Below are 27,822 nucleotides of genomic sequence, written 5' to 3'. Positions count from 1 at the left end.
CTTAAATAGGAGATAAAAACGTATTCTAGACTTCCATCTCATATTTACTTAAAATCAACAACCAGAACAAAACCTATTAGGTTGTTTCTGTTTTTTAAGGCTAAGTTTTTATGTTGGAAATTGTAGAAATAGAAAAGACAAACATCTCATCTGGGTTTGAATGAAATTTGTGACTTTTGTTCATAGTCTAATTGTCAAACACCTGAGGTGATGTGAGTTAGGCTAAGTTGTGCATTATTTATATTAGATGCCTATTTGGTAAGATGGGTATGTGGGAGGTCCTTATAAAGGGACAGGGAGCATGTCATGTGTCCTCTATGCTGCTAGATTGGATGAAGTCAGCCATCACATGGGTGGTGAAAGAGAAGAGAGTCTGAGTGTCTGGAATAAAACATTAACCCGGTGGTGGTGGGGGGGAATTTATGTCTCTCTCTTCTGATCCGTAGTCAGACGCGTTATCCATTGCGCTACTGATGTCTCTCTCTTAAGAGATAAATTAAAATTACAAATTGGGTGTTCAGAATTTAGGAAGAGAGATCCATGGGGTTGAGAAAAACACTTGATACTCTTGGATCATGTAACTGGGCACTCTTACACCCTTGTGTTCCATGACAGAACTCACCCAGTTTATAACTTTTATCCATTTAGATGTTTCTATTTGTATGGTTCTTCTCTGTCTTCTGGCTCATTTTCTTTGGTTCATCCAACTTTCTTGTGGGATCTCTGCCTTGGATGCATTTAGTGGTGTTTTCTAAATTCCTTTTCATAAGGGCTTTTCATAAGGGTTTCAGGTATCCCTCCTCTGAGAAATACCACTGGACTAAAATCTTACTTGCCAGTCAAGTCCTGTCTCATCTTTCACCTGAAACTTCAGTCATTTTCTTTGAAGGGTGTATCTTTCACAGTACTCTATCTACAGCCTTTCTTCATCCAGAGAGGTTATAAAATGACAAGGATTCCTTTAGTTTGTCCTTCTTGGTGACTCTACAATTTGGATTTGATATATTGGAGAAATTCATCTTTGAACAAGAATTGTTATTTTGGACAGGAATTTGTTGTTCAGTAGCTGAATAACATTGACAACTTCTTTGATTGGAAACTTTTAAATTGATACTGGTTCAGTAATAGCATGAGGTTTGGGTTTTGATGAATCTTTAAAAAGAGAGGTTTAGAGACTTGTTTAAGAGATTGTGTGCCAAGTCAGCAAGATCTGGGGGTAATCTTCGTTGAATGAAAGTTGGGGGGATTTGTCATGTTGAATACAGATGGTCCTGACCATGATGGTCTGATGTAACGATTTTTCAACTTTGTGGTGCTATAAAAATGAGACACATTTGGTAGAAACTGTACTTCAAATTTTGAATTTTGATTTTTTCCTAGGCTAGCAATATATGGTAGGATACCCTCTCGAGATGCTGGGCAGCAGCTGTGAGCCGCGGCTCCCGGTCAGCTGCATGGTCACTAGGATAAACGACTGGTACTCCACGGTGCTCTGTGTTGCCAAATGAGTTAGCCCAGCTGTAGGCTGATGTGAGCGTTCTGGCACGTTTAAGGCAGGCTAGGCTAAACTAAGATGTTTGGTAGCTTAGGTATATTAAACAAATTTTTGACTTACAATCATTTTAATTTATGATGGGTTTATTGGGATGTAACCCCATCATAAGTCAAGGATCATCTGTATGTGATAAGCACAATTGAGTGATGAATTTCTATCACATTTAGAAATATGTTTTTCTAAAAATGCAAAAAAATGGGTTTCTATTCACCCTTTTTCCTGGCTATCTGCCTTTTTCTTCCTGGAGAATGCAGAAATGGAGTGTAGGTAATCCCTTCCCTTAGACTATCGCAGCCTGATCAGACATGGCTATTCAAAGAATAAAAGTTACACCCCCAGTGAATGACAAGCCTTCTTTCTGGCTGCCACAGGATCATGAACATCTTGTTACCTTTTATTTCTTATTTCTAGGGAACATAAAATTCCTACTTGGAATCCTTAGGCTGGCTCCAGTCCTTCCAGTGGCTTAAGAGCTACTATATGATTTGGGGAAGGGCCAGGCAGATTGAGTTTTGAGGGAAAGTGTCAAGTGAGACCGGAGAAGACGGATCTAGTTCCAAGGGGCATTAAGGAAGCACCAGTGGAATTGTAGCATATTCTGGTAGCAACTTTTTTCTGTGGTTTATACGGAGCCATAGGACTTGATACTACGTTCTCTTCTTGTGTTTCAATCTGTCCTCATCCAATGGGCCTTGGGCTATGGACTGTCAGTCTGTAGGACCACGTGGAATGCTGGCTAAAGCTCCTTCTGTATCCTTTGGTAGGATCTCAGAGTAACACGTCACAAACCTATACCTGTCAATACCTGAATAGATTGCTGAATAGTATATTTCTATTGCTTGTCAATAAAAAATTCTTATATGTTCTGTCTATTACGTATCTTCGTCCTGGTAATAGATCCCCAAATACCATAATATACAGGTTGCCACATGCACGCGCACACACACACACACACACACAGCTTTTTAAAATTAATTACTAAGCCATCATCTCTAATTCCAAAGAAACTATCAAAATCTACCCAGATTGTGTGGTAACTTAATTTTTAACTCTAGCCCTGAGAGTTTGGTTTTGGTAAGCAGGATGATACATACTGGATTGCCTATTGAAATGAAGCAATGCAGGGCAGGGGGAAATTTATCTTTATGTGTTCAGAAAGATGTAAATGTGCAGAACTCATTTAAGGGTAAAATGTCTCAATGAATCTCTTAGGAATAGGGAAAGAGGATTGTGCATGTTTGCATACATGTATGTTATGATATTTGAATATCTGTTTCTGAGATGAAAATCACTTTGATATGCAATACCCATGGAAAATATAGACTTTTTATTGACAAGAAATAGAAATATACCATTTGACTCTCAATTTGGATATTGAGAGTCATGGGTTTGTGAAGTGTTAATGTGAAATCTTCTCTGAAAGAAGCCGACGGAGCTTTAAAAGGATGATCCATGAATGTTTCATATTTGGCTTCTTCTTTGTGCATTTCTTTAAAATAGAACTTCTTATAGCTGCTTTAGATGAAATGTAAGTTTTGCATACTTCTGTCAGTGTTATAGCTTTGTATGGTGTGCCCATATATAGAGGAGAACCAGGAGGCATATAAAACAGTGAAAATTACTTGAATTTTTTGGTGGTGATGGAATAAGACAAATTTTAAATTAGTTTCTGTTATTTTATATTGTTGTAAAAATTATAATGACACTTTATGTGGATACTGGGTGGAAATAGTGTGAATTCATTTCCTGTGTTTGTAAATGTCAAATGAGAAGTCTGACAGTGAAATAACAGTACTGTGGATTATGCTTTGCAGTTTCCTTTTTGTTTAGTTGACATTTGTATTATTTAACTTGAATATAAAGACTTTATCATTTTTCTAAATGCAGATTAGAAAAGTGCCTATAATGAAATGACCCAGAAATAAATTATTATTACTTGCTAGGTTATTTTTCATGCGTGTGTGTGTGTGTGTGTGTGTGTATTTTTTTACAGAATATTTTTTTTTTGCAGAAAAACCCTAAATATTTTATTTTGTGTTCTATACTTTTTATTTAATATGTTCTTGGAGCTAAAAGCACTGGCCACAACATATTTAGTGATTCTATAGTATTCCATTACACAGATTTAAAATCATTTTCTTCTATTTTGAACATTGTGATTTTATTTTCACTCTTTTGCTGTTATGAACAGCTCAGAGATGAACTTCTTTGTGGGGAAACCTTTGAAGAGACTTGTTTGCAGTTGTTAATGCATTATCCTGCATTAATGCATTAGACCAAGTGAGAAATGGGTAAGAGGCTAAGAATGGCTAATATTTGTTGAGTTCTTACCTTGCACAGGCATTTTGATACTTTTTGTCGTACATTGTCACATTTCAGTCTCACATGACAGGGTGTATTACCATTGCATTGGAGAGATGAAGCATTTGAGACAGGCGTTATTAATTATTTAAGAGTCCATATTAAAAATAATATCTATGTGGGTTGAAAACACAGTTTTCCACATTATCATCACTTAAAACATTTTATATTTACTGAATAGATTTTAACAGGTTGGGTAGGGAATGTGATTGTGGAATTCTCTCCTAATTTGAAGGATTTTATGAAATGATGCCCATGGAATTATATTAAATAGCATTTTAATTTTTAACCTATTAGAAATTATAAAATAGTGGTAAACATGGCTAAATGATTTAGCAGTTTAGAAGTTTATTCAGACTGGTTATCAGGTTTTGTGATTCCATTGTGTGAATTCAGAGGAAAAAAAATACAGCTTGGTCCATGTGTGCAAGGAGCTTACCATGTAGAGGTGAATAGCTGTAAAGGTTCTCTGTGGTGAATACAAAGTACTGTGGAGGTCAAAGTAAAAAGTCATTGTGCTCAGTTACGGTTTTAAAATAGGTCCGCTGGAGAGGGGGGAATGGCTTGAATGATATGTTGAATATAAAGGAGAGTATGAATGAATAGAAAATATTAATAGCAATCTAATTAGAAAGAATAGCATGAGTGAAAGAGCCAAGATGGGATATGTTTGAGGAATGGCCATCATTTCTGTTCAGCAGAAGTCTGTGATGCATAGAAGGCAGTAATAAAGAATCTGTGTATCCGGTGGGCAGAGCGAAGTGTCTACTAAGGTCTAGAATTGCAGAGGGAGAGGTTAAGATTTTATGTGGTAGACAGAAATAGCCAGTGAGGCTCCTGAGAGGATTGGAATGTGCTATAAGAAGCTTTATGTAGTAACATCTTTGTCAGATGTGTTAGAATAGCGAAGGAGAATGAGGTTCATAAGTTAACCCAGGAAACCCTGTTGGCTATCTTGGTTTCATTGAACTCATCTCAATTCAGCTGAACAGATAGCCACATTGTATCTCCTCACCACATGTTCTGCAGTGTACCTCAGTAATTAAAATGAGGAAGTATTACAGTTAATTGGAATTCTTCAGTTTGAGAACATCATGGTTGGTTTATTTGGAACAAGGATAGAAGGGAAGACGGCTTTAGATATTATCTTCTTCACCAGGTGCAGTGTGGATCACACTTGTAATCCCAGCACTTTGGGTGGCTGAGGTGGGCAGATTACTTGAGCCCAGGAATTTGAGAGCAGCCTGGACAACAAAGTGAGAACCTGTCTCTACAAAAAATACAGAAATTAGCTCGATGAGGTGGCGTGCACCTGTGGTCCCAGCTACTCAGGAGGCTGAGGTGGGAGGATGGCTTGAGCTCGGAAAGCAGAGGTAGCAGTGAGCTGAGCTCGTACCACTGCTCTCTAACCTGGGTGACAGAGCCAGACTGTGCCTCAAAAGAAAAAGAAAGAAATCATCTTCTCCAATTCCCTTGTATTACGGATAAGAATAGGAAGACCCATGGCAATTAAAAGAATTGCTCAGAGACCCCAGAACCCTACTTGTGTTTAGAGAGCAAGAGAGAAGAAAGGGTCTGTCAGGTAAAAATGTAGACTATCATTTTATTCATGTTTTTCACATTTGCTCTCTCTCCCAATCCTAAGCCAAAGGAGGAAGTTATGGAACCACTCTTAAAGTCAGAAGTATATTTTCAGGCAATATTCTTTTTTTCTTCTTCACTAAATTTTGAATTTCACACTGCCTAAGATTACCCCAGCATTGGAGATGAGCAGGCACTGCTTCCTCACCTAGATTGTTTGAATGAAATTTAGTTAGGCTGACATTCTAGATGTCAGAGATTAAACTCATACTGCAGCATCAGCTCAGGATGTAAGAGAAACATTCCCAGACATAAAACAAGGAAAAGGGGATAAAGTTAAGACGGAAAAAAGAAATAAATGGCTTTTGTACCTATATGTTTCCAGTCTCATTATAAAACCAAGTATATACATATGATTCATTAAATGAACTAGTCTCAACAAGATAAAAGCAGGAAAAAATTTACCCTTTTTTACCAGTTTCCTCGAATAAGTTCTGACTGGTTCATTCCCACTCCTGGGTGAATCTTTTTGCAGATCCACAGCTTTTTTCAGCTTTCTCAGAGCAGTCTCCATTTCTTCAGATATTTAAAAGTCCATTTGAGTCCAGTATCAGAGCTTCAATCTTCCATCCACTTCAAAGCATCTCCTTTCCCCCAACCTGAGCATGGGAAAAGGGCCAGGGTTGGTTTTGTTGACATTTCCCATCATATTTTTCTGTCTTTTCTCTTCCCTACCTCCTCCTCTGCTTCACTGTGCTGCTTCTGGCTCAGCCACGGTTTGAGAGGCTAGGGAGAAGTGACGCCATATCAAGAAAGGTCTTTCTTGACTGCTACAGTTACAATCCGGCCTCAGGGTTCTCATGTGAGAGTTGTAGAAATCTCTTTTTTTTCCTGTATGAGGCCATTGTGTGGATTGGTGGATATTCCTGTGTCTAAAGAGCTCTGGATTATAATTCCATGGCCCTGTCATTTCCTCTTCTTCTGAAACTTTAGGACTGTTCCTCCAGCCTCTGGCTTCCTTCTCACAGTTTTCTTCTATTGGGGTCACCCTACCTTTTCGGGAGGCCTGTTTCCAAAATGACCTATACCCAACTCTCTACTGGCACATAGGAAGCACGAGGGCATTATTGTCCTGTCAAACCCTGGAAATGGAGGCCATCCCAACACAGCACAGCTTTTTTCTCTTTCTCTGCCTCCATGTGCCCCATTTGCCAGCCCTCTTGGACTTTTACAGATGAGAGCAGTCCCTAAACTTTAGGAACAAATGCCAGCCAATTCAAGTGATTAAGACCCCTGTCATTTGACTTGAAGTCTGTACGTATGTATAATATTTATCCTTGTAGCACTCCAGCAGCTCCCTTTAAATAAATGGTCTTTGTTGATCCCTCCTGAATAATCTTCAAGTCTCCCTCATAATTCCTTGAAGTGGGTGAAGGGATGAGGGTTGCCGACATGGTTTTACAGAATTTTGCTGCTTCAGGACTAATGGAATCTGTGGGGGTGCACCTAGCTCTATCTTTCGGAGGTCTGAGCACTTTTCACCAATTGTTCTTGACTTTGGGTTTCAGTGAAAATGCTGAGACCACAGGACAAATCTCATTTAATATCCTCTTACCTATAATACTAATATGAAACTATGCACAAGAATATATTATATCTTAGTAGATAACAGAGCAAGTTTTCAAACTTAATAGATCCTATGCCAATCATGAAAAATTAAAGCACCATTTTAATTTAATTTGAGTTTGGATTAGAAGAAATATCAAGGAATAAAGTTCAACTTTTTAAAAAGCATCTACAGGTAGGAAAGTTCTTTAAGTGGATTAACACTTAATCTACTTAAAACTGTGTATTGAGAGTCAGGACAAACACACGTGGGGTTCTGAGAATTGAATGGGCAAAAGACAGTTTTAAAAATAGATACTAAAACCTTCCAAAAAACTATTACTAGGCTCTTCTAGTTGTATAACAAAAATTTTCTCTTTAAAACAAAAGAGCCTATGGATTCAGTGGAATATGAGTAGCAGGTTTCAGTGGTTTGTAAAGAGGTTTGAATAGGCTATGTAGCTGGGTAAGGAATTATAAACACATATAAGAGATCTGTGTGCATATATGAACTTAATTTATTCTAGATTATCTTCACAAAAATTACGGAACTTCAAGAGCTTATCTATGCAGGTTACTACAGGTCAGATACAAAAGGCACTATGCATATAAATTAAGTCAGTGAATACATGGAAAATATTTGGAACAGTGCCCAGGTACATAATAAGTTCTATGGAAGTGTGTGTTTTGTTGTTTTATTATTTTATATTCTGTACTCTGTGTAGAGGATTAAGGCATCTAGTATGGAACCGAAGTAGGTGACCTTTTTATTATTTCTGGCCTGCAATTCTGTGATACCAATACTTTTCCTAAAATCAACATTATTGGCATGAACCATCTATTGACAATAGATAAAATAATATGGTAAATAAATTTTTATAGCTCATAGCTAATAATTAGCATCATGTTACATGCAGTGAGTGAATTTAGGATTAGCTCTTTGGACACTGGGACTGGGGATGATTTTTCCTCATCTACTTTTGTTCATTTTCTGAATTTCAAACATAAACCTACATTACTATAAATTACCCAACAAAAACCACAAAAAAGTGATTTTGTTTAAAAATTAACATAAGTATAAATTATAGATTTTCCAGATTACACACATTGTGTGGTGGTGATGAGATGTAAAAAATCAGAAAACTTATGGACGTCTTGATAATTCAGGTTAGCTCCATGCAGAAACTGGAATGCAGGCTTTGTCTAGATAAGGGAAAGAAAAGAACATTCTAGATAGATCGTAAGACTTGAGAGACATCTCAAGGGGTGAAAATGGAGGCAAATAAATGAGTTAATTTGAGATGAATTTGGGGCACTGGTTGGGACTTTTGGGTACAACAGGAGAAAGTTGTAAAGGGAAAGAGAGTTTGGTGTAATCTAGTGAAGATTTTATAGCAAGTAAATCATGTTCCAGAGCTAGGCTGTATTAGCAAGTGACTTTAAGGCCCTAACAAGGTGTTGAGGGATTGTTTTTCAGGATCCGTGTCATTCTGTAACGGGTAAAATGGTCCCCCAAACATGAATACCCCACTTGGTACCTGCACATATTACATTACAGGGCAAAAGGTGCTTTACAGATAGAATTAAGGCTACAGACCTAGATTGTCTGTGTGGACTCTGTCTAAACATATGAGCTTTTAAAATAAAGGAGAGAACTTGCTTTTGTGGGAGTCAAAGCAATATGGCAGAAGTCAAGGTGAAAGAAATTCTAAGCCTAAGAAGGGGTCATCATGTCATTGCTGGCTCTGAGATGTAGGAGCCCATGTGCAAAAACCAGAAAGAGGGCCCTAGGAGCTATGGGCAGCTTCCGGGTGACAACCAGCAAGGAAACAGGTACCTCAGCCCTACAGACGTAAGAACTGGATTCTGTCAATGACCTGCATGAGCATGGAAGAACATGCTCCCCTAGAGCTTCCAGTTAGGAGTGCAGCCCAGCAGGTACTTTGCTTTGGGCCTTACACGAGGCCTTGTGAGAAGCAGAGAACCCAGTTGAGCCAACCTGTAACTGGACTTTTGACCTATACAAATATGAAATAATAAGCGGATATTAAGCAGTAAAATGGGTGATAATTTGCAATGGAAGAGATACTAAACTAATGCACATTTCTTGTTAAATACAAGAATTTGAATTTGGATTTGAATTTGAATTTGAACCCATAATCTCCTGATTCTAATACAGCAGTTCTCTTTTGAATGTCAGAAGCTGCCAGGGCACAGCTACTTAAGTTGATTGATACCTCTGACGTTTCAAAGTGAATTTTGAAACCTGAAGTCTGTCCTTCATACATTTATAAAGGCTTCAGAATTCTATAGAAATCTAAAAGTTCATTTTTAAAGTAAAGTCTGAAAGTAAAGTCTGAAAAAGCACTTTAAGCACTGTTTACACATTTTCACTGAAATGCTTCAGCCTCTTTTATTCTAGTTGCAATGGGACTGGGCTAGGTAGGTGAAATATAATAAATGGAGGAAATACTGATTGTGAAAGAGTTTATAATTTAGGTGGAAGAAAGGGCTTAAACATATGCAATATTAAAGCAATTAAAGACTGGATATGTCCTTTCTTCTGTCATTCAGCTCAACTATATTCTAATAATGTGATGAGGATGATAATAGATAACACTCAAATAGCACTTACTCTGTGTCGGATCAATCAGTCCCGATGATTTATACATGTTAATTCGTCTAAATCTCACAACAATCCTATGAGGTAGAGGACTGTGACTCCACCCCACCGTCAGGAAACTACAGCTTCTCTCAAGGTTGGCATAAAATAATTAGAGATTTCCTACTCTTGTTTTAGACTTTTGGATCTCGGGTTCTGAATCTTGGTCTTCTAGGAGGCTTCACTTGTTAGCAGTTTTTATGCGTAGAATTTCTAGCTGGAAACAGTCTTCGCTAATCTGAGTTTATCCCAATATCAGTCTTTGTAATGTAACATCCCTACAAGGTTCTACAGGAATCTGTCCCTACAAATGAGAGATTGCTACCATAGAAGATCCCTAGAATGTCTGGGACTTCACTGTTGATGTAGTTACACAGTTGCTGTAGTTTATAATCTTACCTCCAAAGGGCACGATGATTGAGAAAAGATATGTATGGAATGGTGTGTAACATAGAATAAAAGACGTAGTAAGACATGAGTTTAAAAATTATATTATGGCTTTGGAGATGCTTTGTTAAATAAACTATATCATGAAAATCCACCTGAGAATCATTTATGAGCTTTTTGTAGATTGAATAATACGCTGGGTCTACCAGAAAACACCAAAAAAAGTAACTTGAGACATAAAAATTAAAATTTTAATTATGTAAACATAACGTTTTATTTTATTATTACAACAAAAATTAAAATGTCTAATATAGACTTATTTCCTTAAAATACATTTTATATACAAATTTTTATTTATCAGGAAATTCAGGTAGATCAGCAGTTAGGGCTTCAGAGAAATTACCAATCAGAGGTTGTAAGAGCAGCTTTGAAAACTGAAGACACAGATACACCTGCTCTTTTGAAAAGATGTTAGTGTCGTTAGCTTGTTCTTCTGAGTTCTTGTAAACATCTGTAGTTTCTTCTGTTGTTTGTACCATGAAATTCATGAGATTTCCACGACAGGAAATGGTTTCCAACAGTTATTTTTTATCTATTCATTCAGATTTGTACCACCTCTATTTCTGTGAGGTGGATTAGATGGCCATAACATCACCAGCTGTTCAACTGCAGGCTGACATATGTCACCAACTCCCAGGTGACATGAACAACCCCCATGGTCTCCAAAGAGAACATGCTTGTTCTCTTTTGGTAGTGGGGTCATTAGGAAATGAGACATTCTTAAAACAAATCTTTAGAACAATCCTTGGGGCACTTCTGATATATACCTTCCCATGTAAAGCATCTCCTATTGAATCTCACAAATTCAATAGACCATTTCCACTGTGGACAGTTCTGGGTATTTGAAAGTTCTTACATTGAGCTAAAACATGTCCTTTTGCAACTTCTCTCCATTGGTCTGAATTTCAGCCTCAGACTTTGAAATACTTGAAGTTAATGATCATGTTCCCCCTACACCTTCTCAGTAACAACTGTAAACATTTTACTTGTGTTCTTGATCACAAACGTATGTACCAGGAATGGTGCCAGGAGTCAGGTTCATAATGATGAATAAAGAAGTCCATTTCAGCGGGCTTATAAACTAGTTTTGGAGCCCTCCAGCTAAAGAGGAGATTTCATTAGAGTGTGATACATGCTATAATTGAAACAAGTATAGAGTGCTATTGGAGTATAAACAGGACTTCACACAGGAGAGGTGAGTGGCGCTCAGGAGAAGATGGTACCTAAGTTGGGATCTGAAGGGTAAGTAAGTGACAGCCATACAAGGCGGGGAGGTGGGGAGGCATTCCAGACAGAATATGTGAAAAGACCTGGGGCAAAGAGAGAGCATAGTCCATCCAGGGAATAGCAAATGCCATATTTTAATAAGCTTCGAGCATGGATTTTGGAAGGAGGAATGGAGATAGAGATGATACTGAAGACCCGACCAGAAGAACGCTATATATGCAGTATCAGACATTGGACTCTGTCATAGTGTCATGGAGAAATCTTTGAAGAGTTTTTTGGGAAAAGATATAATATTATAAAATTTATATTTTAGGATGATTTAGTCTGACTGCAGAGTAGAGAATGATGTGGGATGGAGAGAGAAAAATTAGAGACAGAGGCCTGAGTAGGAGACAGTGATGGGCTGAGCTAAATCAGGGATACCTTATTTCCTGGCTTGGGACTATGGTGTCTGATGGTGCCATTCATGGAGCAGATTTGTGGAGTGCAGCGGAATTGGTAAAAAAGTGACTTCAGTCTAGGTTCAGTGGCTCACTGCTGTAATCCCAGTACTTTAGGAGGCTGAGGCAGGAGGATTGCTTGAGCCCAGGAGTTTAAGACCAGTCTGGGCAACATAACAAGATGTCATCTCTAAAAATAATTAAAAAATTAGCCAGGCCTGGTGGTGTGTGCCTGTCCTCTCAGGTACTCGGGAGGCTGAGGCAGGAGAATTGCTTGAGCCCTGGTCATGGAGGCTGCAGTGAGCCATGATTGGACCACTGCACTCCAGCCTGGGTGACAGAGTGAGACCCAGTCTCAAAAAAAGAAAAAGTGAATTCACCTTTGGAAATGTTGAGTTTGAGCCACTAAGTGGGACTTTCAGGTCCAGAAGGTAGATGGCTATGGGGATCTAGGGCCCAGGAAATATGGGCTGGAAATGCAAATATAATTGAAGTCATGTGAGTGAATGGAAAGAGAAGAAGGTCAAGAGGGTTGAGGATAAATCACTAAGGGACATCAAAGTCTTTATAAAAGGCAGAAGAAGGGGAGCCTTTGGAGAAGAGAAGCAGTAGCCAGAGAGGAAGGAGAAAACCTGGAGCATGGGATGCCATGGAATCCCAATGGTTAAGAAAAAGGGAGTGAGTAATAGTCAAGTTGTGCAGAGATGACAAGGTAAATGAGGATGGCTGTGTTCGTCAAGTTGAACTACAGGGAGGTGACTATCTCCTGGTCATTCTCCTGTGGATACTATCTACTCCTCATGGACCTTAACAAAACCAAATGCAATCCAGATGTTGATCTTTCTGGAGTCCATTTTTTGTGTGTGTGACCTGAATATACCTCTAGTAATATTCCTAAAAACACTGTTATCCATTCTAAGTAATCCAACTCCCATTAACTCAAAGTATGCTTGTACTCAACTATCAGATCTTTTTAATGTGAACCTCTATCATATTAGGTGCATGTGTAGCAGACTTAATAGACGTTTAAAATCGTAGAAGACTATTCCAGTTCATTTTGTTAGTTTCAGATCACTTCTACATATATTAGTCTTTAAATGGCCAGCTATTATCTCAGTTACAATAAAGTTAACATGCATATTTGTTTGCATTAAACAAGTCTATTTAAGTGATTTAAAAATACCCCTGGCCGGGCGCGGTGGCTCACGCCTGTAATCCCAGCACTTTGGGAGGCCGAGGCGGGCGGATCACAAGGTCAGGAGATCGAGACCATCCTGGCTAACATGGTGAAACCCCGTCTCTACTAAAAATACAAAAAATTAGCCGGGCGCGGTGGTGGGCGCCTGTAGTCCCAGCTACTCAGGAGGCTGAGGCGGGAGAATGGCGTGAACCCGGGAGGCGGAGCTTGCAGTGAGCCGAGATTGCGCCACTGCACTCAAGCCTGGGCGACAGAGCCAGACTCTGTCTCAAAAAAAAAAAAAAAAAAAAAAAAATACTCCTAAGTGCCTTGAAACAGATGAGTAAGGATAGATACATTTTATCATCACAGCATGCTTAACAAACACCTCTTTGATGTGATGACAGCAGTTATTGGGGAAATAACTATCTGTTAAATAAACTATTTGGTGGAGAACAGTAGTTTCTTGGCTGGGCATGGTGGCTCACGCCTGCAATCCCAGCACTCTGGGAGGCTGAGGTGGGCAGATCACTTGAGGTCAGGGGTTCAAGATCAGCCTGGACAACATGGTGAAACCCCATCTGTACAAAAACATACAAACAAATTAGCTGGGCATGGTGGCAGGCGCCTGTAGTCCCAGCTACTCAGGAGACTGAGGTGGGAGGATTGCTTGACCCCAGAAGGCAGAGGTTGCAGTGAGCTGAGATCGTACCACTGCACTCCAGCCTGGGCAACAGAGCGAAACCTTGTCTCAAAAAAATAAGAAAATAAAAAATAAAAGTACGGTTCTTAAGAAGCATATTTATTTATTTTTTCTAGAATTCTTAAAGTCCATACTAGCTTAACATTATATAATGGCTTAAAAGTTGTATATTTTTTGGGAATAAAACATGGAAGAATATTAGATTATGTTTCTTCTTACATTTAGTTTAGGAAATTGAGAAAAATGGGCTCTGTATTTTAAAAACATTTCTATCATGGCATCAAAATTTAAATGTTTCTAAGATTAATAGATTTACTAAAAGCCTTTAGGGAATTTGTGAATTGGCAATTCTATTAAAAATTAATTTGTAAGGACAACGCTTTGGTAACTAAGACCTTTGCTAATATTGCTCTGTCCTCTCAAAATGAGTTTCCTTGATTTTTTTTTCTTTTTTTTCCTTCTTTTTTTTTTTTTTTTTTTTTGAGACGGAGTCTTGCTCTGTTGCCCAGGCTGAAGTGCAATGGCGTGGTCTCAGCTCACTGCAACCTCCGCCTCCCGGGTTCAAGTGATTCTCCTGCCTAGGCCTCCCGAGTAGCTGAGATTACGGGTGCGTGCACCATACTCGGCTAATTTTTTTGTATTTTTAGTAGAGATGGAGTTTCCTCATGTTGGTCAGGCTGGTCTCGAACTCCTGACCTCATGATCTGCCCACCTCGACCTCCCAAAGTGCTGGGATTGCAGGCATGAGCCACCGCGCCCGGCCCAACTTTCCTTGACTTTCTAATTGAGCTTCATACCTTGCTTTCAAGGGCCTCCTCTTCCAGCAAGCCTGCTCATGTCTTCTCAGTTAACCTCTCCCATGGAGAAACTCTCTGTCACTCAGAGTTTGCTTGAATCTTAGCTTTGATGCAAAACAGGTCTGGGAGCCTTTGGATTTTAAGACCAAAGGCACTACTAAACTGCCAGAGGAAAAAGAAGACAGAATGCTGGACATAAGACTGACTCTGATTCTCACTGAATGTCAAGGCTATTTTGTGAACAGCCATGTTGGTTATCCAAGATAGAAAGCCAAAACATTTCAACATGTTTCTGACTCTAGTTTCTGTTGGGTAACTAGGGGAGAGGGAAAAATTTGGGATATGTTTTATCAGTCCTTTAATCGTCCTCTATTTAGACATTTACAAGGCCAAATATAACTGTCAGCTGCAAGTGTTTTGAATTGCATAGTTGTTTTATATTGAGTAAACTATATTTTAAATTAAACTTGAAGGTTCTTAAAAGCCTCCTTGCAATTTTCTTTGTACTTGAATAAATCTTGTCTGTCGAACTGCTACTATAGTAAGTGAATCTTATTTGATTGGATTATAGCATAATTTTATATCTAAATACAGTGAAGGCCACGTTCCTTTACAAATGAATTAAATTAGAGGAGGACAAAGTACAGACTAAAAATTTTCAGTTGAAATGAAGGTCGAAATATGGGGCCTTGGAGAAAGTAAGATACTTGTTGAATAGAGCAGTGATTTCTCACCCTGGATGCAATAGAATCACCTAGGAATCTTGGAAACAACAATGCACACTGATGCCTGGTTCAATCCCGAGATTCTGATTTAGTTGGGGCCTAAATATCAGTATTTTTTTTAAACCTCTCCAAATGATTCTAATGTGCAGTCAAGTTTGAGAACTGCTGAACTAGATGAAAACTCAAGCTATTTAAAGAAAGCATTTCCCAGTAAGTAGACCAAAAGTAGTGACCAAATAGCAATTGGGAAAGAAGAAACATGAGAAAAAGATGAGGGAGGGAAACTTTAATGTAACACTAGTAGAGGTTTACAGTCCCTTATTCACAGTCCTACATTAGAAAAACTCTGAAAAACAAAAGTTCTTCATAACTAACTTGGTGGCAAAATCCAACCAAAACTGAACATATTTGGTGGCAAAACTCTAGGCTTTTTCTAGTCTTCCTTTATCCCATTTGATTTGAATAGTAATGCATTTCATGGAAGAAATATTAATGTATCTGACTACAAGTTGCTGCCCCAGACCTCACTGAAGATACCTTTCTGAAATTTGTAAAATTTTGAATTCTGAAATACATCTAGTCCCAGGGAGTTCTGAAAAGGAGTTAAGGATTATAGTAGGGAAGGGTTATGACAGGAAAAGCCAAGCTAATAATTTACTGTTTCTGTCAGATTAAGAACAATGCATTTTTTTCTAATGACCTAGGCAGTGGTTTTGTATCCTCATTGGATAAAAACCATGGCCAGTATCAGAACATGGTTCTACTACATTTGGTACATTTCTCAAGCCTAACCCAACAGTGGCTCTATTTCAGGCATGGTGAGAGGAACTCAGGTTAGCCAACAACACAGTTAGATTACAGTAGAAAAATCATCATTGTCTTATAAAAGACTCTTCAGCATAACAAATGACTCCAGAATCTACAGATTTGAAACAACGTGTATTTATTATGTTGGTACCGGGTCTGTCTCACAGACTGTGGCAGATGGATGAAATGAGTACTCAGACACAGGTAAGCAGTGTGAGAGCACCTAGGTGACTGCCTGGCTCTAGTGGCCAGAGAGCAGCCCTGAGAAGCTGGAGCTGCTTGCTTTTATTCAGTGCAGGCACAGTGCCAAAAACCTGGAGCCAACACTACCTGTAGGTAATTAACATTCATTGTTCGCCTTTCAGGGAATGTCAGGTGTACATAGATGATCAAAGGTCAGTTCCTGGTCAACACAAGTAAGCAAGCTTGTTTAAGATAAATTCCCCCACATTCTTTTGTACCTACTCCTTGCCCTCTGCCTCAGTTTTATAGAACAGCTGCCTTCACCTGTTCTCCTCCGGGGCTCTGCAGAACCTTTCGACCTTTCAGAAGGTTTGTGTCCTTTCCCTATAGTTTTTCCCACCAATCTGACTGATCCCCCACATGTTAGGAGTTGGGAAGCACCTTAGCTAGGTAGTTCCTGCTCAGGGTGTCTCAGGAGGTTGTGGTCAGAATGTCAGCCAGAGCCTCAGTTATTTGAAGGCTCAACTGGCACTGGAGTATGACATTTCTTTTCCAGTGCCAACAGGTCCCTTATTAACACACAAAGAAAAGTGTAGTCCCTGTTTGTGTAATTGCTCAGAGTTTTAGTTTTCAATTCAGTTTCATATAAACCTAACAATTATTTGCAAAGGCCAGCTTTGAATCCTTCTAACATGTTCTGAAGATTTCTGCTGGGAGTAACTTATGATGGGAATGCCTTCTCTGAATTTTCATTGTCCTCCCTCGGGAAGTTTTTTCTCTCCCCTCGGTCCTTTCTGTGTTTTCTCCTTCTGTCTTTGTATAAATAGGGTTGTCTCTTCAACCACCTCTTGTGGGCTAATGAGTGAGTGTCAATTGCCCAGGATAATGTGAAGAAAAGGCAAACAGGTCCCTGCCTCAGTGGAGTTTCCAGCCAAAATATAGGCATTAGTCACACAACTTTAAATGATTGATTGCTAGGTCATTTAAAAAAACAAAAAAGAACTGTGAAGATGCTGTAGCAGCATGAAAGGGATCTTACCCAGTGTGTGGTCTGCTTGATCAGCACTTTCCCCTTTGCGTCTTGTAGGAAGACTAACCTATCTTTGGGTTTCTTTTTTTTTTTTTTTTTTTTGTCAAAAACTTTTTCCCTCCCAATGCAGAAACACGGAAGCTATCGTACATCCTCCTTTGCATAAAATACTCGTATCCTCCCATGGCAGAGGTTCAGTTGATGTAGTGTAGTACAGTACAGTAATCTCATTTATTTTATGTAAAAAAGCAGCCTAGGTTCTAAGTTGAACTGTGAAGTTCTTCATGCCTTTCTCACTGCCTGTCTCTCACCCTCCCAAGTGCCCCGGAAATGCTCCATTTTTTGCTCGCTCATCTCATTCTTTCCTTTCTTTCTCTGTCAACTCTTTGAAAAGCTGTAGTGTTATACAGTGGTGGGAATATAATCCTTTCCTTTTCTGAGCTGTTTCTATTTTGGGCATCATTTTCTAATTGGAAAAGGAAAAACTGAGAATCCCATAAAGGGAATTCAGGTGTGGAAAATTAAAAGAGGAAGCTGGAGATGACTGGTTTCGATCCGTTGTGAGCAAATTAAGTGATCCACCTCGTGCATGATTTTCCATCTCTGCCTTCTCCCTGTGTGTGTGCCACAGTGGGGTTTTCCCTGGGAGATCATAGAATCTAGAAACCATTGACAAGACCCTTGTGAATGTTTATAATCTGCCTCTTTGTCCCAACTCCAAATATTTGTGACACTGTGAATGAAGAAAATCCTAAAAAGAACTGGTAATACTACAATAAACCTTACAAACAATTTAAAATATGTAAAATATGCAGTAATTGATATTTTTACTTCGATGCTTTTTAAATTTATTTGAGTATGCATACCAGTACTTACGAAGGTTTTCTTGTGGTCATTCATCACTTCTGTCTGCCTCAGTACTCTTCCCACTAAGTTCTTTAACTGTAAACTTTCCAACTGTGAGCATTTTCAGAGCTCAAACTCCTAAGGTTGGAGAGGGACTGATTGTCTTCTCACTGCCATGTAATTTTCCTGAGAGAATCTTACGGTGTCAAAGATTGTCTTCTCACTGCCGTGTAATTTTCCTGAGAGAATCTTACAGTGTCAAAGAATCAGCTAAATCAAGACTATGCATTTTTGAATGACTTTCACTTAGCCCATCAGGGAAAGTGCAGCAATAAAGACAGATGGGACAAGCTGCCTTCTGCAGGGGTGATAATGCCCTGGCTGTTGAGAAAGCCAGTCCTATGTGGAGTCTCAGGGTCTAGCATATTGCTACACTTGCCTTCCAGTAAATGAATGTAGATTATGTTAATTTGAATAGCAAATCTGCAATTTAACCTTGAACTCCCTTTAAAGTGTCATTACTGCAATATATTCTGCTGCCTGATACCCCCACCCGCCGAAAAAAAAAAACCCATCATCACCAGTTCCAAACACCTGAACACACAAACTTCTGAGTTTAAGAGTTTGTGTCCTGAAGGGGAGAGAGCTTCCTCATTATGGAATTTTTATTGATACCTTCATGTTATCTTTGAAAGTGACTGTGCTTATTTTTGTCACTGTTTCGTGTTCTGCTTTGAAAATGTTTTCAAGGACGGATTTAAGTGTTCAAAGTGGGAAGGATGAGAGTGAGAGTAAGTGCTAAAAACTTTGGACAAGTGAGTAGGGTTAAAGACATTTAGGATTTTAAAGGTCATCTAGTATATTCCCATTTCACCTGCCCTATGCATTGATGATGCTTGCTTTTATGTGGCATATTATCCAAAATGGTTGCTGTAAACCTGTCAGACTTGCAGTGAACATTCATTATATTTGAGCAGAGGTCCAATTAAACCAGGATTACCTATATCAACTTTACTAGAATTTCTTTATAAACTAGCATCTTTGAGGGATAAGTAATATTTAATCTTTATTATGGTATCATGTATATTTTAATAATTCATAATTGCATTATATCTGAATATTATATAGTTTTTTTTTAGGTACTTCCCATCATCACAGGGTAGATACCAGTGTTTTACAATGTATACATTCTGGCAACTGTGTAACTTTTAAAAAAGTAATTCAATATGATTCTTCTAAAAGTTTATATGCAGAGGTTTTTCCATGTACTAAAAACAAGCAAAAATCAAAAAAGTGCTGGCAGCAAACTTAGGTTTAATTGAAACAGCTCTGAATTTGGGTTGGATATCTAAGAACAAAGTACTGCTTTTGATGGCTACATTTTTCTTCTTCTAATTTGATTTTCCCCCCTAATATTTTATTAGGTGCAGAGAGAGCTAGCAGCTGTTATTGCTTTGAAAGCAAGGAAGTCTGGTAAGTCATCTTTTATGGGGCTGGAGGAAGATTCTAATTCTTTGGGGGTATTTCACATATCATCTGGTAGTGTGCAGTTGAGTGTATCTCAGGAAGTTATGGTGTAGAATGCAAAGAATTATACCATTTGTTTTTAAAAATCATTTGTTCTACCATCAGAATAGCACAGGATGTTATATGTAGTTCTTTAAGATAAAATGTCACTGCTTTGCTCTAATCTATTTTTGATTTCAAGAAAAAATGAAATTTAAAGTTAAAAATATGTTTGAAGTCCATTGCAACCATATAAGGATCTAGGTACATGACAAAGTAAGCCGATCACCTTGTAATTATGTATCTTAATGACAAAGGACAATGGGTACTATAGAGGTGGTCTTTTTTATAAGGCTTTAAAAAAATCTCAAAGTAGTTTCTTCTAAGAATAATTGAATTGCTTAATGAGATTTCAAAGCAAACATTATTCCTAGGATTGATTGATAGGTCTGATTCCTCATACCTATAGGATATAATCTGTGGAAGTAACATGTGGAAAGGAAAAGGGGGCTTTCAAATACATTTTAAAGGAGAAAAAAGCATAATCTGTTAGAATTCAATATGAAATGGAGACTCACTGAAGTAGAAAAATGCTTGCTTAGATGGGAGGAATGTCAGTAGGAGGCATCCTTTGCTGCGGGAGGAGGTCAATGCTGAATGGAATGAAAATCAGAAGGGAGGTACTTCTTGGATAATGTTAAACTAGAATAAGACGTTTCAGGCGAAAAGACTATGACAAAATCAAAGTGATGACCAAACTTGAAGAAATAAAATGGAATGGAAATGTCTCAGCAACACAAACTGTACATTTTATATCTTTCTTTTTCCAGTTAGAAACCCTAAGAATTTGATTTTTTCTCAGTTACTATTTGAACCAAAATACCTTAGAGTGAATTAGCTTATTACATTCATATTACTTTCTTTGTTGGTTTGGCAGATGTTGAGGACATAGAGACTGGAAGCTATAAAGGTGATGGGAAGGAGGATGCAAGGAATAGCAATCTTGGGTATTGAACAGAAGGCAGCATGAATAAGGCTCCCCAGTGAACAGCATTATATTTGCAGAGGTGGAGGCCAATGTAGAGAAAGGACATCAATAAAGATTGCAGGAGGGAAATGCAAATCAAAATCACATTGAGATTTCTCCTCATCCCAGCTAGAATGGCTGTTATCAAAAACACAAAAAATAATAGATGCTGGCAAGAATGTGGAAAAAGGGAAACTCTCATAAACTGTTGGTGGGAATGTTAAATTAGTACAGCCACTATGGGAAACAGTATGGAGGTTCTTCAAAAATGTCAAAATAGAACTACCATAGGATTCAGCAATCCCATGGAAATCAGTGTATCAAAGAGATATCTGCACTCCCATATTTATTGCAGCGCTGTTCACAATAGGCAAGATGTGGAATCAAGTATGTATCAATAGATAAATGGATAAAGAAAATTTGGCACGTATACACAATGAAATATTATTCAGCCACGAAAAGGAATAAAGCCTGTCATTTGTAGCATCATGGATAAGCCTGGAGGACATTATGTTAAGTGAAATAAGCTAGGCACAGAAAGACAAATACTGCATGTTTTCACTCATATGTGGCAGCGAGAAAAGTTGATCTCATTGAGATAGAGAGTAGAATGATGGTTGCTAGAGGCTGGCAAGGGTAGGAGGGATGAAGAGTTGGTTAATGGGTACAAAAGTATAGTTAGACGGAGTAAATTCTCTACTGTTCAATAGCACAGTATCGTGGATATAGTTATCAATAATTTATTGTATATTGCAAAATAGCGAGAGAAGAAGATTTGAAATGTTCTCAATACAAATGATATATGTTTGAGGTGATGGATATCCCAACTACCCTGATTTGATTATTATACAATATTTGCATGTATTAAAATATCATGTACCATACAAATATGTACAATTATTATTTATCAAAAAAGTAACTCTAAAAAAAAGATTGCAGGAGGGAGGGCCTGGAAATAAATTTTGCTGGAGCTGATCTTGATTCTCGTCATGATAAAGAGACAAATGTACAGTCCGTACAAGTTGGGATGACAGTGTCTTGAAGGATAGGATTTGATTTTTTAAAATTTCAGAATAAAGTAGAGAAGTAATAAAAAAGTTGTAGCATGTCATTGCCAGAGAAAGAGCAAGTAAATACAGATAGGGAGGCTGGAGAAGGGGTGGCTGATTTACACAGAGTGGGATTGGAAAGCCTCTGATTTAGAGATTTTTGAGCCAAGACCTGAAGTTGGTGAGGGAGTGAGTCCTGTGGCTATCCACAGAGTATTTGGGTGGACACATTATGCCAGATGGGTTCGAGAGACTGCAAGGAGGCAAGTGAATGAGGCTGAGAGAGGTAGCTTTGCAATGTCAGATGAAGAAGTTTCAACTTTCTGGAGGTGGAGGGAGATGAAGATGAGCAAGCAAGACCCACACATGTTAGATTGCATAATGTCAAAGACTGGTATGAAGTCAATTTTATTATGTTGTGATGTCACTGTATGATATTAGCATGTCTGTTTTCCTTACTTATTTGATCAATGGAGTTTGGAATGTGAATACAATTTTGGCAACTTCTCAGGGACAGAGTAAAGTGATCTCATACACTTGTACTAATGATGGGGACATAAATTCATAGTTTTTCAGGAAAGCAGTTGTTCAGTATATTCCAGTAACTCTATAATCCAATAGGTTTATATGACTGGAGGTCTGGCTGTAGGACATAATCAGAGATGCATGTAAAGATTAAGATAGAAGAATATCTGTTGCATTTTTTTTAACAGAAAGTAGAAACAATCCTTAATTCCTTATGATAAGGAAATAATAAAATTGGTATATCAGTACATTGGAATATTAAACAGCTTTTAAAATGATGTTTGGGAGAATTAATATAGTAATTTTTTCAGTGAATAAAGTTGTATACAGTAGCATGTATTCTCTTTTTCATGATAAAAATAACTATTTTTTCTTGCTATCATAGTAGAACATGCTCATTGAAAAAAACTTTTATAATACAGGAATGAATGAAGAAGAAATTTGAAAGTTATATATCATCTCACCAATCTAACCACTAATACTCATTTTATTTCCAAACATTTTTTAATTTTTAATTTTAATTTTAATTCTTTGTATTTTGGCTATTTCCAATTATTTTTTTCTTTTTTCTTTTTCTTTTTTTTTGTTTTTTGTTTTTTTGAGATGGAGTCTCGCTCTGTCGCCCAGAATGGAGTGCAGTGGCGCAATTTCGGCTCACTGCAACCTCTGCCTCCCAGGTTCAAACAATTCTCCTGCTTCAGCCTCCCTAGTAGCTGGGAATACAGGCATGTACCACCACACCCGGCTAATTTTTGTATTTTTAGTAGAGACAGTGTTTCGCCATGTTGGCCAGGTTGGTTTTGAACTCTTGACCTCAGGTGATCCACCCGTCTCTGTCTCCCAAACTGCTGGGATTATAGGCGTAAGCCACCACACCCAGCCACCAAATTTTTAAAATTAATATGCAGATATGATATATTATATATTAATATGCTGCTGATTTAATAAAAGGATCATCTTATATGTGCTCTTTTGAGATAACTTTAGATTTGCACACAATTGTAATAAATAATACAGACAGATCCAGAGTATCTTTTATGCAAATTACCCCAATGATAACATTTTGCAAAACTACAGTATGGTATCACAACCAGAACATTAACATTTTCATCAACACAGCGATCCCTCATGTTGCTCCTTTATAGCTACACTGACTTTCCACTACCTCTTTTCTCTTCTTAATTCCTGGCAATCACTAATCTGTTCTCTATTTCTGTCATTTCAAAAATATTATATAAATAGAATCAGACAGTATGTAACCTATTGAAATGGGCTCTTTTCACATGGCATGATTTTCTGAAGCTTCATTCAGGTTGTTGGATATATCAATAGCTTTTTCCTTGTTTTTGTTTGTTTGTTTGTTTTGAGACAGGGTCTCACTCTGTCACCCAGGCTGCAGTGCAGTGGCACGATACCGGCTCACTACAGCCTTGACCAAGGAAGTCTAAAGCAATCTTCCCACCTCAGTCTCCTGAGTGGCTGGGACTACAGATGCACACCAGTACACCTAGCTAATTTTGTTTATTTTTTGTAGAGACAAGGTCTCACTACGTTGCTCAGGCTGAGTGCTTTCTTTTTCATTGCTGAATAGTGTTCCGTGGCATGAATGTACCATAATACTTTTAACCATCCACCAATTGAAGGACATCTGGGTTGTTTCCAGTTCTTTGGCTATTTTGAATGAAGCTACTACAAACATTCCTATTTAGGGTTTTTTGTATATGTGAGCCTATCTTCATTTCTCTGGAATAAATACTCAGGAGTACAATTGCTGTGTTCTATGTTTATGTTTAGTTTTTTGAGAAACAGCTAAACTATCTTTCACAGTAGCTGTGCCATTTTTACATTCTCACTAGCCATGTGTAAGTGCTCCAAAGTCTCTCAGATTCCCTGCGTCCTTGCCAGCATTTGGTATCATTATTATTATTATTTTTAATTTTAGCCATTCTGATAGGCGTATAGTGATACCTTTTCGTCATTTTTATTTGCGTTTCCCTGATGGCTAATGATGTTGATCTTCTCAAGTGCTTATTTGCCATCTGGATGTTGTTTTTGGTGAATTGTTTGTTGATGCCTTTTGCCCATTTTTTAATTGAATTGCTTTTTTTTTGTTTTTTATAGTTGAGTTTTGAGAGTTCTTTATGTATTCTAGGTAGTAGTCCTTTGTTGATAAGGACTGGTTGGCAAATATTTTCTTCTAGTCTGTAGCTTGTCTTTTTCATCCTCTCAACGAGTCTTTCACAGATCAAAGGGTTTTAATTTTGATAAAGTCCAATTTATTAATTTTTAATGAGTCTTTTAATGCTTTGGGGTTAAATCAAAGAACTATTTACCTAGCTCTAGAGTCCAATTATTTTCTATGCCTTTTCTTCCCCTGAAAGTTTTAGTTTTATGTTTTACATTTAAGTCCATGATCACTTTTGAGTTAGTTTTGATATAAGGTATGAGACTTAGGTCAAGTTTCTCTTTTTTTTTTTGGCCTATGAATGTTCAGTCACCTCAGCACCATTTGTTGGAAAGACCATCTTTCCTTTTGCACCTTTGTCAAAAGTCATGTGGGCGTATTTGTATGGGAGTATTTCTGAGTTCTTTGTTCTGTTCCATTGAACAGATTCCATTGGTATCCATCAATACTACAATATTGATTACTGTAGCTATATGTAAAATCCATTTTTATAGGATTAATATTATCGTTATTATTTTTGAGACAGGGTCTCACTCTGTTGCCTAGGCCGGAGTGCAGTGGCGCAGTCACAGCTCACAGCTCACTGCTCACTGCAGCTTTGACCTCCCAGGCTCAAGCAGTCTTCCTACTTCAGCTTCCTGAGTAGCTGGGGCTACATGCAGGCATGTGCCACCACACCTACCTAATTTTTTTTATTTTTTTATTTTTGGTAGAGAGGGGTTTTGCTTTGTTGTTCAGGCTGGTCTTAAACTCCTGAGCTCAAGGTACGTGGTGATCCTCTCACCTTGGCTTCCTGCACCCAGCCTAAATTTTATATCAGTAATATAGTTTTACATCATTTTTATTAATTGTATATACTAGCAGTTTAATTCTCGGTTGTACATTTAGGTTTTTAGTTTTTTTTCCATTGTAAATAATAATAGAAGAACCTGAATGTATATTTTTGTATATATCTCTTTGTGCCCTTTTCCAATTATTTCCTCATAATAAATTACTAAATGTGGAATAGCTAGCTGTGGACAGCGTTAAGGTTTTGTTTTTCACGTTTAGGACTTTAAGTCCTCTGGAATTAATTTTATGTATATGGTGTGATGTGGAAATCAAAATGTTTTCCTTATGTTAAGCCAGTTACCCTATTAGCATTCATTGAATTCTTTGCTCACTGATCTATAATGCTTACTCCATTATATATGAAGTTTATATATATGCTGTGCTTGGATTTATTTCTGGTCTCTGTGTTCCACTGATCTATTTACCTTTCCTTGTGCCTACACTATCCTGTTTTAATTACCAATGCTTTATAATAAGACTTCAGGGGAGAGTGGGGCATTGGGTGGGTAAGGCAAGTCTCTTCTTACTTTTCTTGTTCTCTTCAAAGTTTTAATTTGTCAAGTTCCATGAAAGTCTCTATAGGGATTTTTTAAATGTGTATTTACCTTATAGATTATTATATAAATCAGATATTTTTGAGATAATGTGTTTCTATCAATGAATATAGGGTATCTTTCCCTGTACAAGTCGACATTTTTGTTTGATGTATTTTTAGGTACCTTGTAGTTTTGATTACTGTTGTAAATGAACTATTTTTTGTAATATCTTTTTTTTTTTTTTTACTGGTCCTAATTTCTGCATTGTGTGATGGTTCCTCAGTCTTTTTCTTTAATGAAATTTCTCTTTTTTTTTGATAGACTTTATTTTTTAGAGCAGTTTTAGGTTCATAGCAAAATTGAATACAAAGTGCAGAGAGTTGCTTTATACCTCCTGCCCCACACATGTACAGTCTCTCCACTATCAGCATCCCACTCTGGTTTGGAATGTTACGTTTTTTACAATAACGGAACCTCCATTGACATGTGGTTATCACCCAAAGTCCATAGTTTAGGGCTCACTCTTGATGTTGTACATTCTATGGGTTTGGAGAAATGTATAATGACATGTATCCACCATTATAGTGTCATACAGAGTAGTTTTACTGCCCTAAAAAATCCTGTGTGCTCCACTTATTCAACTCTATGTTCCTCTAACCCACTACAACCATTAATTTTTTTTTTTTTTGAGACGGAGTTTTTGCTCTTGTTGCCCAGACTGAAGTGAGTGCAGTGGCACGATCTCCACTCACTGCAACCTCTGCCTTCCGATTTCAAACGATTCTCCTGCCTCAGCCTCCCAAGTAGCTGGGATTACAGGCACCTGCCACCACACCCGGGTAATTTTTGTATTTTCAGTAGACGGGGTTTCACCATGTTGGGCTGGGCGTGGTGGCTCACGCCTGTAATCCTAGCGCTTTGGGAGGCCAAGGTGGGTGGATCACGAGGTCAGGAGTTCGAGACAACCATTAATCTTTTTACTCTCTCCGTAGTTGTTGTCTTTTCCATAATGTCATATGGTTGGAATCGTACAATACGTAGCCTTTTCAGACTGGCTTCTTTCACTTAGTAATATGCATTCAGAATCTTTTCACGGTTTCAGAGCTCCTTGGTTTTTAGTGCTGCATAATATTCCACTGTCTGGATGAACCAGTTTATCCATTTACTTACTGAAAGACATCTTGGTTGTTTTCAAGTTTTGGCAATTATGAATAAAGCTTTGGATATGCAGATTTTTGTGTGAATGTAAATTTTCATCTCTTTTGGGTAAGTACCAAGGAGTTTGATTGCTAGATCATGTGTTAAGAGTATGTTAAATTTTATTAGAAACTACCAAGTTGTCTTCCAAAGTGGCTATACTATTTTGCATTCTTACCAGCATAATTGAGAGGTCCTCTTGCTCCACATCCTCACCAGCATTTGATGTAGTCAGTGTTCTAGATTTTGGCCATTCTAGTAGGCCCTTTTAATAGATGTGTAGTGATATCTCTTTGTTTTCATTCACAATTCCCTAATGACATATGATGTTGAGCATCTTTTCATGTGCTTATTGTATGTCTTCTTCGTTGAGGTATGTGTTCAGGTCTTTTGCTCATTTTTTAATTGGTATGTTTTCTTATTGTTGAGTTTGAGTTCTTTGTATATTTTGGATAACAGTTCTTTATCAGATATGTCTTTTGTAAAATATTTTCTCTCCATAGCTTGCCTTTTTATTTTCTTAAGTGTCTTTGCAAAACAGAAATGTTTTTATTTTAATGAAGTCTAGCTTATCAATTTTTTCTCGCATGAGTCATGCCTTCGGTTTTATATTTACAAAGTCATCACCAAATCTAAGGTCATCTAGATTTTCTCCTATGTTATAGTCTAGGAGTTTTATAATTTCACATTTTACATGTAGGTCTGGGGCCCATTTTGAGTTCATTTTCAAGGGTGTAATGTCTGTGTCTAGGTTCTATTTTTATTTTATTTTATCTTTTGCATGTGGATATCCAGTTGTTTCTGAACCACTTGTTGAAAA

The 27,822-nt window shown here is 37.8% G+C and overlaps 1 protein-coding gene across 2 annotated transcripts in view; it reads left to right on the top strand.

Moving 5' to 3' along the window:
* The window catches only part of RAPGEF5 (Rap guanine nucleotide exchange factor 5), a 238,919-nt gene that overhangs the window by 70,572 nt on the left and 140,525 nt on the right, over positions 1 to 27,822 (top strand). For both annotated transcript variants that reach the window (NM_012294.5, XM_017012837.3), the window contains one exon: positions 19,571 to 19,619. In NM_012294.5, coding sequence (NP_036426.4) covers positions 19,571 to 19,619 — 49 coding nt within the window. The remainder of the gene's footprint in view (positions 1 to 19,570; positions 19,620 to 27,822) is intronic.

The sequence above is a fragment of the Homo sapiens genome, chromosome 7, assembly GCF_000001405.40.
Source record: "Homo sapiens chromosome 7, GRCh38.p14 Primary Assembly".
Lineage (NCBI taxonomy): Eukaryota > Metazoa > Chordata > Mammalia > Primates > Hominidae > Homo > Homo sapiens.
Note: the sequence above shows the minus strand (reverse complement) of the source record. Positions and strands in the feature narration are given on the sequence as shown.